The 17554-nt window shown below is 44.4% G+C and overlaps 1 long non-coding RNA gene across 1 annotated transcript in view, besides 1 other annotated feature; it reads left to right on the top strand.

The window, feature by feature from the left end:
• The window catches only part of LINC01992 (long intergenic non-protein coding RNA 1992), a 62784-nt gene continuing 56712 nt past the window's right edge, over window positions 11483-17554 (top strand). Inside the window, exons 1-2 of the long non-coding RNA NR_146896.1 lie at window positions 11483-11797; window positions 14320-14425. This is a non-coding gene — a long non-coding RNA (long intergenic non-protein coding RNA 1992). The remainder of the gene's footprint in view (window positions 11798-14319; window positions 14426-17554) is intronic.
• Window positions 15864-16420: a transcriptional cis regulatory region, noted in NCBI's record as "candidate enhancer chr17.1404 targeted for multiplex CRISPR interference". NCBI's record gives its function as "positively regulates NLK gene expression with high confidence in K562 cells {active_cell/tissue: K562}" and the evidence as "EXISTENCE:mutant phenotype evidence [ECO:0000015][PMID:30612741]".

The raw sequence follows: 17554 nt of genomic DNA, 5'->3' as shown, positions 1-17554 counted from the left end.
CTATTCTAGACATCTATCTTAAAAACTGCACCTTCTCCAGTACCACTATACTCTCTTCTTGCATCATTTTCATCCATTTTACTTATGACCCTTAAATATACCATATATTTGCCTTGCTAATTTGGTTGGTTTTCTCTCCCCACTTGAATGTAAGCTGCAAGACAGCAGGATGTTTTTGTCTTGTTCACTGCTGTACCTTAGAGTCCAGAGCAGAACTTAACACATGGCGGTACTCCAGTGATAGGTTCAAGGGCATGCAACCAGTGCAGGTGCATGGGGCCCATGCTCAGAGAGGGGGCCCTGCACTTGGAGTTTAATGCTGTGTGGTTGCCATCTTGAAATTCTTAATAATTTGATCTTTACATCTGTGTTTTGTAAGTGAGTCCGACTGGACACTGGAGCATGCTTCACGGGCTTCGTGCTCCAATTCGCATGTGATTTTGCCTCTGTTGTCCTTCACCTCTTCCAGATGGGTTCTCACCTACCTCCTCTTCCATTCCTTCTCAGCAACTGCCACCTTATGCCTCAGAGGGGACTTGGGCATGGACATGAGGAGGGTCAGAGTTGGGCATATGTGTGGCCTATGATCGAAGTCTCAGGGCAGGGCAGTGGGTGCCTGTGAGGGTCTGTACTTGCCCTGCCAGTATCCCTGTGCTTCAGGAATACAATATTAAATAGCAAATAAAAAATACCATGACTAGTGGAGAGGGACCGTGGAAGGAGGTAAAAAGCTTTTTCCTGCTTTTGAACTAGAGGCCCCACATTTTCAATGTGCATTGAAACTTTTCACCCTCACATCATGCAGCCATCCCTGTAGTGCTCAATATCTATTTGTGAAATGAATGAATGAATACTATATGTAAAACTGAGAAAATCTGGAATGTGCTAGGCATTCAGTAGAAGTTAGCTATTATCAGCTATTGGCTTATTAATGGCCACTTCTTGCTTCAAGTTTAACACTCAAGTTATATCCAACTATAGTTTTCTCCCCATTTTGTGATGTTTTGACACATGCATGTCTTTGTTTCTTGTCTTCTCTGCTGGGAATTCTTTTCTCTTTTCCTCCACTTTCACATACGTGGCTACCACTCAATGTGGCCACCCCTTCCTCCAGGAAGTCTTCTCTTATTCCTCCTGGGTCAGCTCCTCCATCTGCACCCACTTAAAACCCTGCATTCTTTCCCTCTGTCAGGTTTACTTCTTCCAAGGTGGGTAAGCTTCATCCAAAGTCTCAGAACTTCATTTGATGGGCTTTGGAACATGACTGTGCCACTAACCCAGTTTAGGCACCTCTTTTGCCAAGGGTGAGCTCCCTCCCTAACCCTGTGCCCCTGAGTTAAGCATTTGCTCTTCCTCTGCTTCATGCCTTATCTGGAGCCAGATTGATTGCTCTTAGTACCCAGGGTCCCAGTGAGACAGGGACTTGCCTGAACCTCAGCCTGCTATCGGGATCCTAATACCCATCCTAGTTGTGTCCATGGACAGTTCTTCTGGAATGGTGCTGTTCTGTTAGCACTGGAGCTGTGCACATTTTCTTTTTGTGTGTGCATGCTTTTTAACAACCTTGAGCTTTGGTATCTCTATCTATGAAATGGGAGTAAAAGTGTCCATCTGGCAAGTTTGTTGAGAAGTTTAAATAAAGAATACCTGACAAAATAGGATCTCAGAAAAATATTTGCGCCTCCTTCTGCCAGATGTAATAGTAGCTACTGGCATGGGCCCTTCCTATTGGCATGGTACTCCTGGTTTCTGTGCTGACATAAACAATTTTGAGCTACTCTAGTCTCAGTCTGTATGACACACTGGTCCTGCCTCAGCGTTAGTCACTATCTCCCCAGTAGGTCCTCCTGGCCTCAGAGAGGGAAAAAAAAATCATTGTTTTGGTTCAAGTGTGATAAACAGTGATTGACAGGCCTGAAAAAGAAGCTGTTGAACAACGAGAAAAAGCCTCTAATTATTCCCCTTAACCTGTCTGTTATCCTGTCTGTTCAATTCATTCTTTGACAACTGCCTTTCCCCACTGCTTTACTGTTTAGGAATAAATTATTTTGAAGAAATGTGTTTTCAATAAATTTGTTAAGGCTAAAATGTTGACATCTGGAACATTCTCCATATTCTGAATCTGAGCTCCCCCATCCTCCACCAAGAGAGTGGGAGTCACTCTTGCTGGTGAAGCATTGATGATGGCAGCCAACAGGAGACTCAGGTCCGAGTGGGGGAAACCATCTTCTGGCCCTAGATCGTTTGCAATTAGCTGGGTGACCTTCTGGCAATGCCTTACCCTCTCAAAGCCCAGCTGCTTCACCTGCAAAATAGACACACTCTACATATCTTTTGGAATAATGGATGTAAAAGCACTTTGGAAATGCAAAGGACTTTTTTTTACATGATGCTCAAAATACAGACCAATTCAATGAAAAGAAAAGAATGACTGACAGTGGGCTGGTCACCCCAGCTCCTGCTCTTGGACTCAGTCTCTGATCTTGGTCCCTCAGGCAGTGTCCTCTGTGTAACTCCTCTCTGTAATGTTCATCTCTGTAATGAAGAGGCTGGTGAACCCTTCAGGGACTCTCCTGGGACTGGGGAAGGTGGAGGAAGAGAGGAAGAAGAAGGGTCTTAGGATGAGGGAGAAGGGGTAGGGAGCCTAGGATTTTACTGTGGGAGCTCAGAGCCACAGGCTTTAGGAGTGATCATTATAATTATTGTTACCTTTGCCACAGCACTTGCTCATCTTTCTTCACTGTTGCTTGAACCTATAAATTACCCTGATGGTCATTGTTAGTAGCCTGGGCATGGTTTAACTGGGCATGGTTTAATCCAAGGAGTGGGTTCTCTCTTTTTTTTTTTTTTTTTTTTGAGACAGGGTCTCACTCTGTCACCCAGGCTGGAGTAGTGCAGAGGCGCGACCACAGCTCCCTGTAGCCTTGACCTCCCATGCTTAGGTGATTCTTCCACCTCAGCCTCCCGAGTAGCTGGGACCACAGGCATGCACCACCACACCTAGCTAATTTTTGTAGAGATGGAGTTTTGCCATGTTGCCCAGGCTTGTCTCGAATTCTTGGACTCAAGTTATCTGCCCACCTCAGCTCTGCAAGGTGTTGGGATTACAGGAGTGAGCCACTGCGCCGGCCTGGAGTGGGTTCTCTTGGTAGTGAATCCATTGTGGTCTGCATAAAGGACCCAGTCGGTGATGATAAGAAGAGCCTGGGCCAAGAGTCAAGAGCCCCTACCTAATCTCATAGTCAGCTTTTTGGAGTTGAGCTGAAAGTTAAACAGCACTCTGTAAGAAGGGACTTAAGCATTCGACGAATCATATTAATAATGAACATTGTGAGCACTTTTGTTTTGTGGGGCTTTGTTTTGACAGTCTCTCTCTCTGTCACCCAGGCTGGAGTGCAATGGTATAATTAGGGCTCATTGCATCCTCAAACTCCAGGGCTCAAGTGATCCTCCTGCCCTGGTCTCCTTAGTAGCTGGGACCACAGGTGGATGCACCACACCCAGCTAATTCTTTTATTCATTTTTTTTTCTGTTAGAGACAGGGGCTTGCTATGTTGCCCAGGCTGGTCTCAAATTCTTGGCCTCAAGCTCTCCTCCCGCTTCGGCCTCCCAAAGCACTGGAATTACAGGCATGATTATTATGCTTGGCCTGCACACTTTCTATATGTCAGGCAGATGTCAACCAGGGGGCTTTCCTGCCCCTCAAGTTATAGATAAAACTGGCTGGGTATGGTGGCTCACACCTATAATACCAGCACTGTGGGAGGCTGAGGTGGCAGGATCATTTGTGGCCAGGAGTTTGAGAATAGCCTGGACAACATAGCAAGACCCCATCTCTACAAAAAAATTTTAAAAATAGACAGATGTGGTGTTGTGTGCCTGTAGTTCCAGCTACTCAGGAGGCTGAGGTGAGAGGATTGCTTGAGCCTGGTAGTTTGAGGCTCCAGTGAACTGTGATCCTGCCACTGCTCTGCATGACAGCCAGAGGGATCCTTTACAAGATAAGCTACATCGTGTTTCTCCTCTGCCTAAACCTTCCAGTGGCTTCCCATCTCATGCAGAGGATGACCCATCTTACAGAGGTCTCCAAGGCCCTACATGATTTGGCCCCCAGCTACCTCTCATATCTCATTCTCTACCGTTCCCCCTCATTCATCAAATTCAAGCCACACTGGCCTCCCTGCCATTATTCCAACACATCATGCCTGTTTCCACGTCAGGGCTCTTACACTTCTTCTGCTTGGAATGCTCTTCCTCCAGATATCTGCATGGTCTTGTACTTTGCTGTCCCTCTCTCACTTCGTTCAGGTCTCTGCTCAAATGTCATCTCATCATATGGTCCTTCCTTGACTGTCCTGTGTGAAAAAGTCCCCTGATCCCTCACTATCCTTTTATCTCCTTTTATTTTTCTTTATTGCATATAGCCACCTGACATATTAAGTATTTATCTATTTGTTTATTTGCTTACTTTCTCTCCTGCCAGGTCCCCACTAAAATATAAGCCCTGTGTAAGCAAGTGCTTTATCTGTTCTGCTCAACCTCTTTGTCCCCAGTTCCTAGAGCAATTTCCAGCACACGGTGGGCACTCAACAACTATTTGTTGAAATCCTCGTTGAAAAGTAGAATTGCCAGGTTTTGGTAATTGTTTGGATATGGAAAATAAGGCATAGGAAGAGTTTAAGGGGTTAAGAATTTCTAAAGCAGGGCTTTGTAAAATAATTTACATGGTTATTACCAAGCTTTTTTTTTTTGTCTTCTGGCCCAGTTTATCTTGGACACCATTAGATGTCACCACGTGTTTTGCTCCATTAAAGTCTCATTAATGCAAAAATCCTAAGACTCCTGAGGAACAAAGTTTGATAGCAGATCTGTGACTGGGCAAGGCAGAACTGCACTCCGGGAGGACACTTAGCTTGCTTATCTACTGAGAATCAAGCATGGTGTGGGGGTTGCAATCTTCTGTATCTTGTTGGGACTTAATTGTGCTAAGGAATACCAGGCTGAGGAATTATTTGAGTTGCATCCATGCTGTGGACATGAGTCTCAGGACTCCCTCTGTGACAGGTTTATGGGTGCAGAGGTGGCCAGGCATAAAAAAGAGCAGAGGCCATGGTCGGATACATGGAGTTCAACACAGCGAAGCTGGATCACCTGCCAGCTCTCACCTCCCGAGGTGAGGAAAGAGAAGGGGACTGTGTTAGCTTCCCAGGGCTGCTATAACAAAGTACCACAGACTGCGAGGCTTAAAACAACAGGCATTTATTATCTCACAGTTCTGGAGGTTGGAAGTTCAAAATTAAGGTGTCAGCAGGGCTGCACTGTCTCTAAGACTTTGGTTAGATTCTTTGCTTGCTTATTCCTGGCTCGTGGAAGCTAGGATTGCTTGTGGTCATCTTTGCAGGCTCAAGAGTGGAAGCCCAACTATAGCAGCAAAGAATGAGGCCAATACAGAGAGAGAAGCAGAACTGAGAAGCGGAAAGAGTAACAAAGTTGCTCAGGCACGTCATTTGAGCCCCAAATCCAGAGAGGCCTGAAGCTGTCTCTCACCTGCACCTTATCTCATCCTTCTGAGTTATGTGAGCCAAGGAATCTCCTTTTAGGATTAAGCTGGTTTGAGTTGGTTTTCTATTACTTGCACTCAAATACTGTAGTTCTAAAAAAAATATTAGTACAGCATATATCTTTTCAATAAATTCCCCTTTTCATGAGGTGACTTGATTGAACGACTCTGTAATTCACAGTCGAAAGGACCCAACTGAAAAAATTAGGGAGGCATTTGACTCGCTGTTATATAGTTGAGAAGACTGAGGCCAAGGTCACACCATTAGTAAATATCAGAACTAGTATGTGAACTCAGGAATGGATTCAAACAGTAGGGATCCAGAGGTTGTTTTTCTGCAATATATTTCATCATATTTCTACAGAAGACTTGAGTAATGATGAAGGAGAAACCATTCATGTCCCAGCCCCACAACTCATTTACCAAGTTATTGAAATCCTCTGGGCCTCAGCTTCCTCCTCTGTAAAATGGGGTAATAATATTTCTTACCTCATAGAACTGCAGTAAGAATTAAATAAGATTTTAGATATGTAGATATTACAGAGAGAGATGCAGATAGAGATATACACAATGCATAGAACAGTTTCTGGCACATAGAAAACACTCAATAAAAGTTAGTTATTATTATAATAATTATCATCACCACCATCATCATTATCATTAAACTCCTGGGCTTAAGCCCAAAACCATCAATCAGCCTACACTCGTGTCGCTAGCAGAGGGACAGCTGCACTTGCTGTCAGCTTATTCTCAAAGCCTCAGGATTTGGCTGTTGCTGGTAGAGCATTTTAATGTGGCTCAGTGTTTTCATTTCTGTCATTTTGTTGTACCTGCCCCCTGAGGCGGCTGAAGCAGAGAAATCCCCGAGAAAAATAAATAAGTGAAATAAGCTGTGATGAAGCCCCTTTGTTATTCTCTGCGTTCAAGCTGTTTTTCAGGGTATCTTTTGGTAACCAGGCCAAGACTTGGAATCCAGTGGATTAAGCACAGGTTTTGGTCCCTGGGGGTGACAGATTGGGGTGGGTGGGGGCCAGCGGGTGATGGGGACAATATGGGGTGGCTTGGCAGACAGCAGCTGGGGCAACAATGCATTCTGGAAGCAGTAGTTTTCAAATTCATATAACAGCATGACGATCACCCATTAATTAGAGCCACAGATATTCAGAAGCCAGCTTAGCAATCTCTAAAGATTATTTTTAACTACACACACCAGACAGCCCGGCTGGCTCCCCTGGCAGCTCTGTCAATCTCAGCAAATCTGAGTTAGAGTCGTGGAAGGTGACAGCAGGGGAAATGGTGGGCGGAGACAGCATTCCTCTTGGGTGTGCAACAATTGAAGAAAAACCTTTAGGCTAGGCAGACCCACCCATGGACCCGACCACCATGGTAAATAAGAACCCCTTTTTGTTACCAGCGCTTATCAGGGCCTTCTACCTGCTCCTGACCCTGACTGATGAAAGAATCTTTTGAGTTCCTGATCCACTGGCGTGGTCTCTTGCTTTCAGTCCTGCTCTTTAGAATTTAAAGATGACCTTCATTTCAGCATCTCTACTTTGACCTTTAGAGGTTTCAAGGGCAGACCTGCATTTCCAGTCTGTCTGCTTTGGATAACACCCTACCAGGCTGGAAACTTGCCAGGCACAGATCTTTCGCAACTCTTCCCACCTTCCCAACAAAGACCACTGGACAGATTTTCTACTCTTATTCCTCCCTCTTCTCCAGAGAGTTGGATTCAGAGGGCTGGAGTAAAGACTGAGCATCAGAATTTTAACCTAAGTACCTTAGGTGACCTGGTGCAGGTGGGTCCTGCATTCATACGCACTACCTCACATGTTCCATGAACATTCCCTTCTTGTCTCCTTTACTTGCACAGGGATGCTTTTCTCTTTAGTCATGGCCTTTTAGGTTATGCAGAGGAATGAATTCAGCTTGCAGAGATTTGGGAAATTTTGTCCTTATGAAGCAAGAAGTTACACAGGAGGAAATGATGTGACATCTCAAGATTACTGGAGAAGAGACTTTACAGAGACATTATACATAAGTTTTTGCCATTATTATCTTTTCCACCTTTTCTTTATTCTGTCTCCTCTGTCCCACAAAACCCTGATCCCATGATGAAGAGTAGGAGAAAAGGCATCCAATCATTGTCTTTCTGGGACTTTCTTTCCTTACAATGGCTAGTACCACTAATCTTGCTCTCAATTCTAGATATTTTCATCATTCTTAAGTCTACCACTATGCTTTGAGGGCCCTCAAGTTGCCTACATTCTATTTATGAGACAGGATAACTTAGGTTCCATGAGGGGGTCATAAAACACTTTAGATTAAAAAAAAAAGTTATAGTAGGCATAGTCTGAAACAAAAGAGATAAGAAAAGCCATCATTTAAAAAACAGGTAATTCAGGGCTATTCCATTTTGAGGAAGGAAGGGAAGAGCCTTGCTTCAGACACAGGGAGATGGGAGAATGGTATTAGCTGGTGCAAAAGTCATCACAGCTTTTGTCATCACTTTCAATGCAAAAACGCAATGACTTTTGCACCAATCTAATGGTTTTCTGCCCTTTAGCACGGTTTAGTCCACTTCTGTTTCATGATAAGACCTTCACATGGTTAAGATTTTGTAGCACTAGGTCTCTGTGATCTGATGACTTACAACACTCAACTATATTTTTTGATCCTCACAACCTTTCAACATAGTGTAATTAATTAATTAAGCAAATATTCATTAAGCTCTGACTGTGTGCCAAATGCTCTGTGAGGTCTTTGATGTATACAGAAGTAAATCAGACAAGATCTTTGTCTCTAGGGGTTCATTCGTTGGAGGAAAACCAAGGGTCAGAGAAGCCAAGTGACCTGCCAGATTTGCAAATCAAATAGTGGCAGAGCCAATACTGGAAACAAAGAACCCCATTCTTTCTTCTCCACAGGATTCAGTTACTGAGATCATGATCTCTTATTTTGGTTTTCTTTTCTTTTCTTTTTTTTGTTTTGAGATAGTGTCTCTCTCTCTCTCTGTCACCTAGCAGGAGTGCAGTAGTACCATCATAGCTCACTACAATCTCCAACTCCTAGGCTCAAATGATCCCCTGGCCTCAGCCTACCAAGTAGCTGGAACTATAGGCATGAACCACTATATCCTGGCTAATTAAAACATTTGTTTTTGTAGAGACAGAGTCTTGCTATATTGCCCAGGCTGGTCTTGAACTCCTGGCCTAAGCAATCCTCTCACCTTGGACTTCCAAAGTGTGGGGATTACAGGTGTGAGCCACCATGCTCAGCCATGATCTCTTATTCTTGACATCCTGAGATGCAAGTACTGGGCCAAGGCTTTAAATGGCTTTTCCTGCAGTGGGATTACCAAGTCCCGACCACCCTGCAACCCCTGCTCTGGCAATGATCTCCATCTCCTGTTATTTGTGCTCTTGTGTAATTTCCTTCCACTAAGTGACTAATGATTCACTTCTGGCAAATAAAATGCAGTATTCATGATAGAACGGCACTTCTGAGATAGGTTATAAAAAGACTGTGGTTTGCACCCTGGGTGTGCTCTCTCTTGCTGTCTTTCCTGAATCACATGTGGTAGAGGAAGCAAGTTGCCATACTGTGAGTGGTCTTTTGGAGAGGCCTATGTGGTGTGACGAGGAACTAAGATCTTTAGCCTCATAACTCATAAGGAACTGACGCCTGATGACAACCACGTGAGCAAGCTTGGGATTGGAGCTTTCAGCTCTAGTTGAGTCTTCAGATGAGTCCATGTTCCTGGCCAACAGCTTGATGGCAGCCTCTTCAGAGAACTTGAGCCAGAGGCATCCAGCTAAGACTCATTCATATTCCTGCCCCGTAGAAACTGGGAGATAATAACGTTTTTTGTTTTAAACTATTAAACTTTGGGGTAATTTGTTATACAGAGATAGATAATACAGTATCTTTGCTGCCTGGACTTTAACTTAGTCCTCTCCTTCCTGGAGGTGTCTCCAAGGGCCCACTCAGCCTGGTGATGATAATTGGAACTGGGAGACTACAGTGTGTTGAGGGGCGCTGCAGTTAGGGGAGTATGGCTGGAGGAGCAGAAAGTAATTCTATGAAGAATGACCTCATCCTTCAGAGAATGGCTGTGGAGGAACACAGGACTGGAGAATAAAGCCTCTCTGTCATGCAAGTCCAGCTGGGCTGGGCAAGGTCTCGGTGCCAAGCTGGGCTGAAAGTGTTAAAGACTATGGACTTCCCCTTGGCAAGATTGGGGCTCCCATTAAGTCACTAGGAAGAAGATGAAAAGTGAGAGGGAATTGGGGCAACAGTACGGAGACTGGAAGCTATAGTTAGTGTCCAAAGGATCAGGCTCTGCTACTTACTGGCTCAATGACCTTGAACAAGTTGTTTAAGTTCTTTGAACCAAACATTTAAAGTGAGTATTGTAATAATATCCACTTTGAAGGGCCATTTTAAAGATTAAATGGGATGATTTAGATAGAGCTTTGAGCAGAATGCAGAATAGTTGATATTACTATTATTCCTGGAAGGGATCCAAGTTGGAAGTTTTGCCTTCAATGTTTCTGCTGTGATCTGGGTGGGTGGAAGGGGCCAGCAGGGCCCCCCCAGTAGGTCTGTGGAGGGCAATTTGGTGAGCCCCTCTCAAAAGCAAATGCATAAATAAAAGGCCAGTGGAGATACCAGAGACCACCTCAAAAGGGAATTGGAACATCAGAAGATTCGTATGAAAAAGGCTTGTAGTCTACAAAACATGGGTAAACCTTCAAATATAGCTCAACCCTCATTTGACATAGAGAAACTCTTATCGACAGCTTACTCCAATAAGTCAATGGACAAAAATGGGCAAAGGGTCTCATCTGGAAGCCATGACTCATGGTTCTCCAGAGAACTCGTACAGGAGCAGAACCCAGGAGGGTGAATTCACACCTCATCGATGTCAGTAATTTCACACTGAGGAGAAGGTATCAGTGTAATGAGTTGGAAAACAAGACAATATTAGAAGAGAAGTGATGCTTCAGAAATGAGATGAAAGTTTTTGTAGAAAAGATCACAGAAAAGTCCATGATTATAAAGGATAGCCTTGATTGATCACAGTTGGGTGGAAGATTTAAGAGGATGAAAAAATTGAGTAATAAAAACATATATGAACACTTCCCAAGGTTTGCAAGGGTTATGTTTCTGAGTCTGGTGTATTTCAAAAATTGTACATGTGTTGACATTGTGTATGTGAATCTAACATAATTCTGAAGATGATTATTGTATGCAGGACCCTACAGAGAATATGATATAATAGGGCTACCTGTATATGATCAGTCCCTAAAGTTTTTGAAACATTAGTAGGTAAAAGCAGGATAAGTGCTCATTTAAAATTTATGGGCCCGTGTGGTTGCTCATGCCTGTAATCCCTGCACTTTGGGAGGCCAAGGCAGGAGGATTGCTTGAACCCAGGAGTTCGAGACCAGCCTGAACAACATGGCAAAACCCCGTCTCTACTAAAGATACAAAACTTAGCCGGGCATGGTGGCACATGCCTGTAGTCCCAGCTACTCAGGAGGCTGAGGAGGGAGGATCACTGGAGCCTGGAAGGTTGAGGCTGCAATGAGAAGGTTGAGCCTGGGTGACAGAGTGAGACCCTGTCTCAAAAAATAAAACAATAATAAAATAAGATAAAATAAAATTTACAGATCATTTTCTGAATCTAAATTTACAGACCTTAATTTACCTTTGGAGGAGACTGCTGCTTTAAGAAAAAAAATCTCAGAATGGCCCTTTTGTTATCCAGAAGTAAAACATTGTACTCATTGTTCTTGATGGAAATTGTGACATCATTGTTAAACTGACTATAGATATTGGTAATGTAAATTGTGACTTTGCAAAGCTACTATTTACTGAGCATTTCCCATAAGGTCAAAAGAACCACTTGGAACACTCATTCAGCATACAGATTCTGAGCCCCTCCCTGAAGATCTGATTCACTAGGCTTGGTGTAAAGTCCTGGAACCCATAGATTTAACAGGAGCCCTCCACTGGCATATATTATGGGAAATAGTTTGGGAAGTAGTGCTTTACATGATTTATGTCAAGTAATTATTACAATTGCTCTCTGAAGCCGCTACCATGATTATCTCAATTTTACAGATGAAGAAACCAGCTCAGAGTATAAGATATGGTATACCTAAGTCAAATAGTTAATAAACAGGAGCGCTGCTGACTCTGGCACCCAGGACTGCTTGTCTTCAAAGCCAGGTAGGTGCAAAACCATTTTACTGTTCTGGTTGGTAGGCATGGTTGATCAACAGCTGCATAGGTTAGCTGGCTGGCTATTTCCACATACGCCCTCACTGGGTTAGGGCATGGGAAGTTGCTTGCAGGGAGTGAGGCATAGAGGGGAAGAATGGGAGGTCTGAAGTCTTCTTGGTGAGATAATTTATGGACTCCGAGCTCAAACAGTGCTGCTTTGGGGCCCAGGAGACAAAATGTGACACCGACATAGATCTGGGGCTCTAGATAGTGGTGATATTGAGAGCATCAGGAGATGGTACCCTCCGAAGATCACTGGTGATTTCAGAAGGGGCATCTAAGAATCTCCCTCCGATGCTACCAGGGCTGTGACATGGGACAGGGCACCTGAAATAGGAGAGGGAGAATATGATGGATGTTGTGTGGTGATTGTAAATAAGTGGGTTGTTTTAAGAGCATATAAGATATGCCCTTGGGGACTGCTCCAAATAACTGGGAAATGCCTTTTGTAAGGAAGGTTGGATGAGGTGGGAGCCCAAGTCATTGTCATGTGGACAATAAAAGTAAATGGGACCCCATTTTATATCCACAGACCTTGACACTTAGATTACATAGTTGGATTTTTGATGTGTCTAGACCTCATTATGTTTCTTAAGGACGGGTGCTGTAATACAGTGTCTAGCCCAGGGGGAGAGACGCAATAAAGATCTTGTGTTGAATAGAGAAAATTTGAGCTGTAGCTCCCCTCTTTCACTAACTGTTTGTGTTAGGCCGTTTTTTGCATTGCTATAAAGAAATACCTGAGACTGGGTAATTTTTAAAGAAAAGAGGTTTCATTGGCTCACAGTTCTGCAGGCTTCATGGGAAGCATGGTGCTGGGATCTCCTTGGCTTCTGGGAAGGTCTCAGGGAGCTTACAATCATGGTGGAAGCCAAAGGGGGAGCAGGAGCAAGAGAGGGAGAGTGGCAAGGGTGGTGCCACACACTTTTAAATGCCCAGCTCTCACAAGAATTCACTCTCACTATCGCAAAGGCAGCACCAAGCCATGAGAGATCCACTCCCATAATCCAAACACCTCCCACCAGGCCCCACCTCCAGCATTGGGGATCAGAGTTCAACATGAGGATTTGGGCGGGGACAAATATCAAAACTGTATGTCTGTTCCTCAGCTTCCTCTTCCTTCCTATTCCATAGCCCAGCTTTATTTCTGGCAAAGACTAAGATGCTGAGGCTCTTGTGTTTGTTCTTCCCTTCTCACATATTGGTCATGTGGTGGGTAGGAGTTGTAGGATGGTGATTTATTGAGTGATTTGTGAGACATTGGCCTAAGAACTCAAATACAAATGCACACCCATGCCACTATCTCATTTAATCCTCACCTCCACCCTGTGAAGAAAATGTTATCCATACATGATAATGAGGGCTCCCCTACCCAGAGCATGAAGGTATGGAAAATAAAGTTTCCATTTGAGAACGAGACTCTTTAGATTTTACACAATGGGTGAGAACAGCCACTTACAGTGAAATAAAAATCAGTCTGTGAAGATGTGACTTAAGAGTTTGAGACTCCCTCCCCGCTACCTCCAGTGCCATTCAAGGTGACCAGGGAGACATTCCCAAAAGGAGTGTAATTACAAAGTGGAAACCAAGCAATTTGCTTTCCATTCTTTTGGGAAAGGCAGGGAGAACAGAAGGCAAGTGGTTGGCCTGGTAGGATGGAAAAGGAAACCCAAAGAACTTGGTGATGCCCAAACACTGAAGAGAACACAGGGAGGCTAACCAAATAGAGACCTACCTTTCTGTGGCAATGCTGTGGAAGGATGGTGAGAGGCCCACAAGCCACTTAGACAGGGGACCCTGATTAAGATCAATAAAGCAAGTCATAGACTCTTATTCCAAGCTTCACAAGCAAGACACTTCCATAGGTCCCTGGGATGCCAAGCCTCTGGGTGGGAGATACTCCCTGAGCCATTGTACCCATCAAGTCTGCTCCCTGGCCTTCTGGGATTTATGCTCCAGTTCTTGTGCTCTTGGACACTCTAACTCCTGAGACGTGAACCATCCATATGCCAATAAATCAGGTCTGGGAGCTTCTCAGGCCATGCACAGATTCTGGACTGTGGTGAGTTGATGAAAGGAAATGCCTGTCTGGTGAGCCACCTGGCCTTCCTTAGGAACACCCCTCTGAATCTTTGGGCCCAGAGCATACCTTTTGCACAAGAGAAAGTGTCACTCCCTCCATTCTGGCAGCCAAACAAACACAGATTTTAAACACTTGGCCAAGGTCACTCAAGCAAAACCCTTTTTCCTCTGTTCCCGAAGCCCATACACGTATCTCCTCCCCAACTGTCCTTCCAGAGATTTACCTTCTGTTTCTCCCCCTTTCTCTCCACTCCTTCCTCCCGGGCCCTTCTCTATTGTCCCACAGCCTTGTGGTGGCACTCCAGCAGTTTTCCACAGGGAAATCCTCTTCTGGGCCAAGGCTGCATCGCGGGAGCCTTTGAGCTCTTGCTTCTGTCTCATTACAGGACTCCGACTACTGAAGGCCCAAGACTCTTGGCGGTCTGAATCTGGGGTCCCAGCTGCCTTGCCAGGATGGCAGATATCTCTCCACTAATGCAGGTGTCTTAGAAGGTAGGCCTTGTTGCTTCAGAAAGCAGTGGGTGTTAGAGGCTAAAATGGCAGACTGTCTCTCATGGGCCGTTCAGGTGAGCAGACTGCTCGAGAGAGGCCTTGGGTCAGTGCTCTTGTCTGAGAGGGGCCTTTGGAGACAGTGGCCTGGAGGCCTCTGACCTGGCTTGGGGAGAATGAGGGAACCAAATTCCAAGAGCAAGCTGAACATGCCTCAAGTGATGCTGTGGCTTCAGGTTTTTCCTTCATTATCCCATTTCCTCCTCACAACAACCCCTCTCCTGAGGACCTTATATCTCAGAAGAGGCAGCAAACTTGCCCAAGGCCACCCAGCTAGAAAGTGGCTGAGTAGGGGGCAGAACCCAGGTCTGTCTGATTCTCACGCTGCCCTGGCGTGGAACTCCCTGTGGTGTGGGGGTGTGATGCGTCCTCCTGGGTTGGAAGCACAGGAGCAGCATGGTGCTTCTAGACAGACCGAAGCCTATCAACCACCCTGGTGGACCATCTGTGTTAGGAAGACCAGTCTTAGGCACAAGCCTGGCCCATGGAAGACAAGCCACTTATGCTAGTGTCCTTGTCATTCCACCACAGGCACCAGAAACTACCAACAGAACTGATTATTATTACTGTTATTTTTACAAAGAGGCTGCTATCTTAGACCAGCAAGGAGAATTCGTATCCCCTTCTGCCCAGTGCAAAGTGCTGGGTGACTTGGCTTCTTTTTTTCTTTTTTTTGAGACAGGGTCTTGCTCTGTCACCCAGGCTGGAATGCAGTGGCACAATCACGGCTCACTGCAGCTTCAACCTCTCGAGTTCAAGCAATTCTCCCACCTTAGCCTTCCAGATAGCCGGAACTACAGGCGTGTACACCATGCCCAGCTAATTTTTTATTTTTTGTAGAGACTGGGGTCTCACAATGCTGCCCAGGCTGCTCTTGAACTCCTGAGCTCAAGCAATGCCCCTCGTTTCATCTTCCAAAGTGCTGGGATTACAGGCGTGAGCCATCGTACCTGGCCCTGACTTGGTTTCCAGTTCTTTCTCCAGCCAATGACTTGCCACAGAGCCTCAGTTACTTATTTTGGCCTTGGCGTCTTCGGATTTTCCTAGGTGATCAGCAGAGATGCTTTTAGAGCCACATGGCAAAGTTTTGACAGGTTTTTTTTTTTTCCATGAGACATAGTCTCACTCTGTCACCCACGGTGGAGTGCAGTGGCGTGATCTCTGCTCACTGCAATCTCTGCCTCCCGGGTTCAAGCAATTCTCCTGCCTCAGCCTCCTGAGTAGCTGGGATTACAGGTGTGTGCCACCAAGCCTGGCTAATTTTTATATTTTTAGTAGAGACAAGGTTTCACTCTGTTGGCCAGGCTGGTCTCGAACTCCTGTCCTCAAGTGATCCACCCACCTCAGGCTCCCAAAGTGCTGGGATTATAGGCATGAGTCACCATGCTTGGCCTGGCTTTTTTATTTCTACATTTTCAGAACCCAAACTGGTGCTGCCTGACACATGGTAGGCACGCAGCACAAGTTTGTGGTGTGCATGAATAAATGAACCAGTGACCATTCAGCTATGGAGGAGACTCATAGTACCTGTAGCCCTGACCCTTAGGCATTCCTTTCCTTGGTCTTAAAAGGGTCCCTTACTCTGTACCTGATGTCATCAGCCAGGACAAAGGACGCAACTTTGGCACAGATATCTTCTGCTTAAGGGAAGCCCATTGTGTGAACACTTACAGGAATGTTAAATTATGATGATAGTGGTTCTTTGAAATGCACATCTGTGAGGAAAGATAAGCAAGACCTCACCATAAAGTACTCACAGGCGTGGGCAGGGCCTGGGGAACACTGTTAAGAGTGCAAACAATAAAGAGCTGTCACAAAAGACAGAAAATGGTTTCTTACAGTCATAATTATGCTTAAAAAAAGACAAACTGACATTTTGGTACATTTCCTTCTAGATGTCCTTCTTTGCGTATTTTTTTTTTGTAGAGATCGTAACGCATACATATTTGAATCCTGCTATTTTTATTCCACGTAACATAAACTTTTGCCCACGTTGTTATAAACTCTTTAGCGACATCAGTTTAATTATTGAATAATACTCCATTTATGGATGTACCATAGTTTATGTAACCACTCCCTCATTGCTAAGCATTTAGTTTCCAATTTCTCCCCATTATAATCAAGGTACTCTGCTCAGAAGATCTTTGTGCATTAAACTTTTTCCATTTTTTTAGATTATTTCATAAAGATAGGTGATCAGGAGTCAAATGCTCGGTCTCCGGGAGTGATAGTCTTAAGATTCTTTTCTTAAAAATTTTTTTTAAATAGAAAAATTTTTATTTTTAAGATTCTTGAGAATATATTATTGTTAATTTGAGAAATGTTCTCATTGTTCTTCAGAATCCAGGCTCTGTGTTCAGACAAGTGGTGTGCAAACGCTTGTTCTGGCATTTACAGTATGGACTTGGCCACCTTGGTTGACCTTCCTAAGTCTCAGTTCCTTAGCTATCAATTGAGGATTATGACTGCACCCTCCTCATGGGACTGTTGTGAAGATGAACAAATAAGACAGCAAAGCTCAGTGCTTGGCACAGAGTGTGCTCCCCACATATTAGCTAGTACTAATTTGCTTATCTTTGGTTATCAATGAGGAAGGGCCTTTTCACTTCTGCCTATTGTCTGTTTCTGTGTGTGTATGTGTGTCTAAATTAAGATATATGGTTTTAAGGTGAAAAATGAAATCATAAGGGACTATTTATTAGGTCAATTAGCAGGCATATAGCTCTTTTTCCCCCCTTTTAGAAAGGGTGCTGCCCAGGCTGGCCTTGAATGCCTCAGCTCAAGCGATCAGCCCCCTAAGTAGCTGAGACTACAGGTGCACACCACCGTGTCTGGCAAATATAGCTCTTTCTCAGGGTTCATCTAACCTCAAAGAAGAGCAGATACTAGTGCTGTACAGTTTCTACCCAGCATTTCTCCTTTGGGCTAGTTTTGGAATCTATCATAAGACTTATCTTTCTCTTTTAATGTTTAAGACTAACTACATTCTTAAGTATGATTTTTATTGTGTGAAGAGAACCTGTGGGAATACATTGCCAATTGTGGAACAAATTCAGAGACAGAACTAGATTT

This window comes from Homo sapiens, chromosome 17, assembly GCF_000001405.40.
Source record: "Homo sapiens chromosome 17, GRCh38.p14 Primary Assembly".
Classification (NCBI taxonomy): domain Eukaryota; kingdom Metazoa; phylum Chordata; class Mammalia; order Primates; family Hominidae; genus Homo; species Homo sapiens.
The sequence above is the reverse complement of the archived record's forward strand: the minus strand, read 5'-3'. Positions and strand labels throughout refer to the sequence as shown.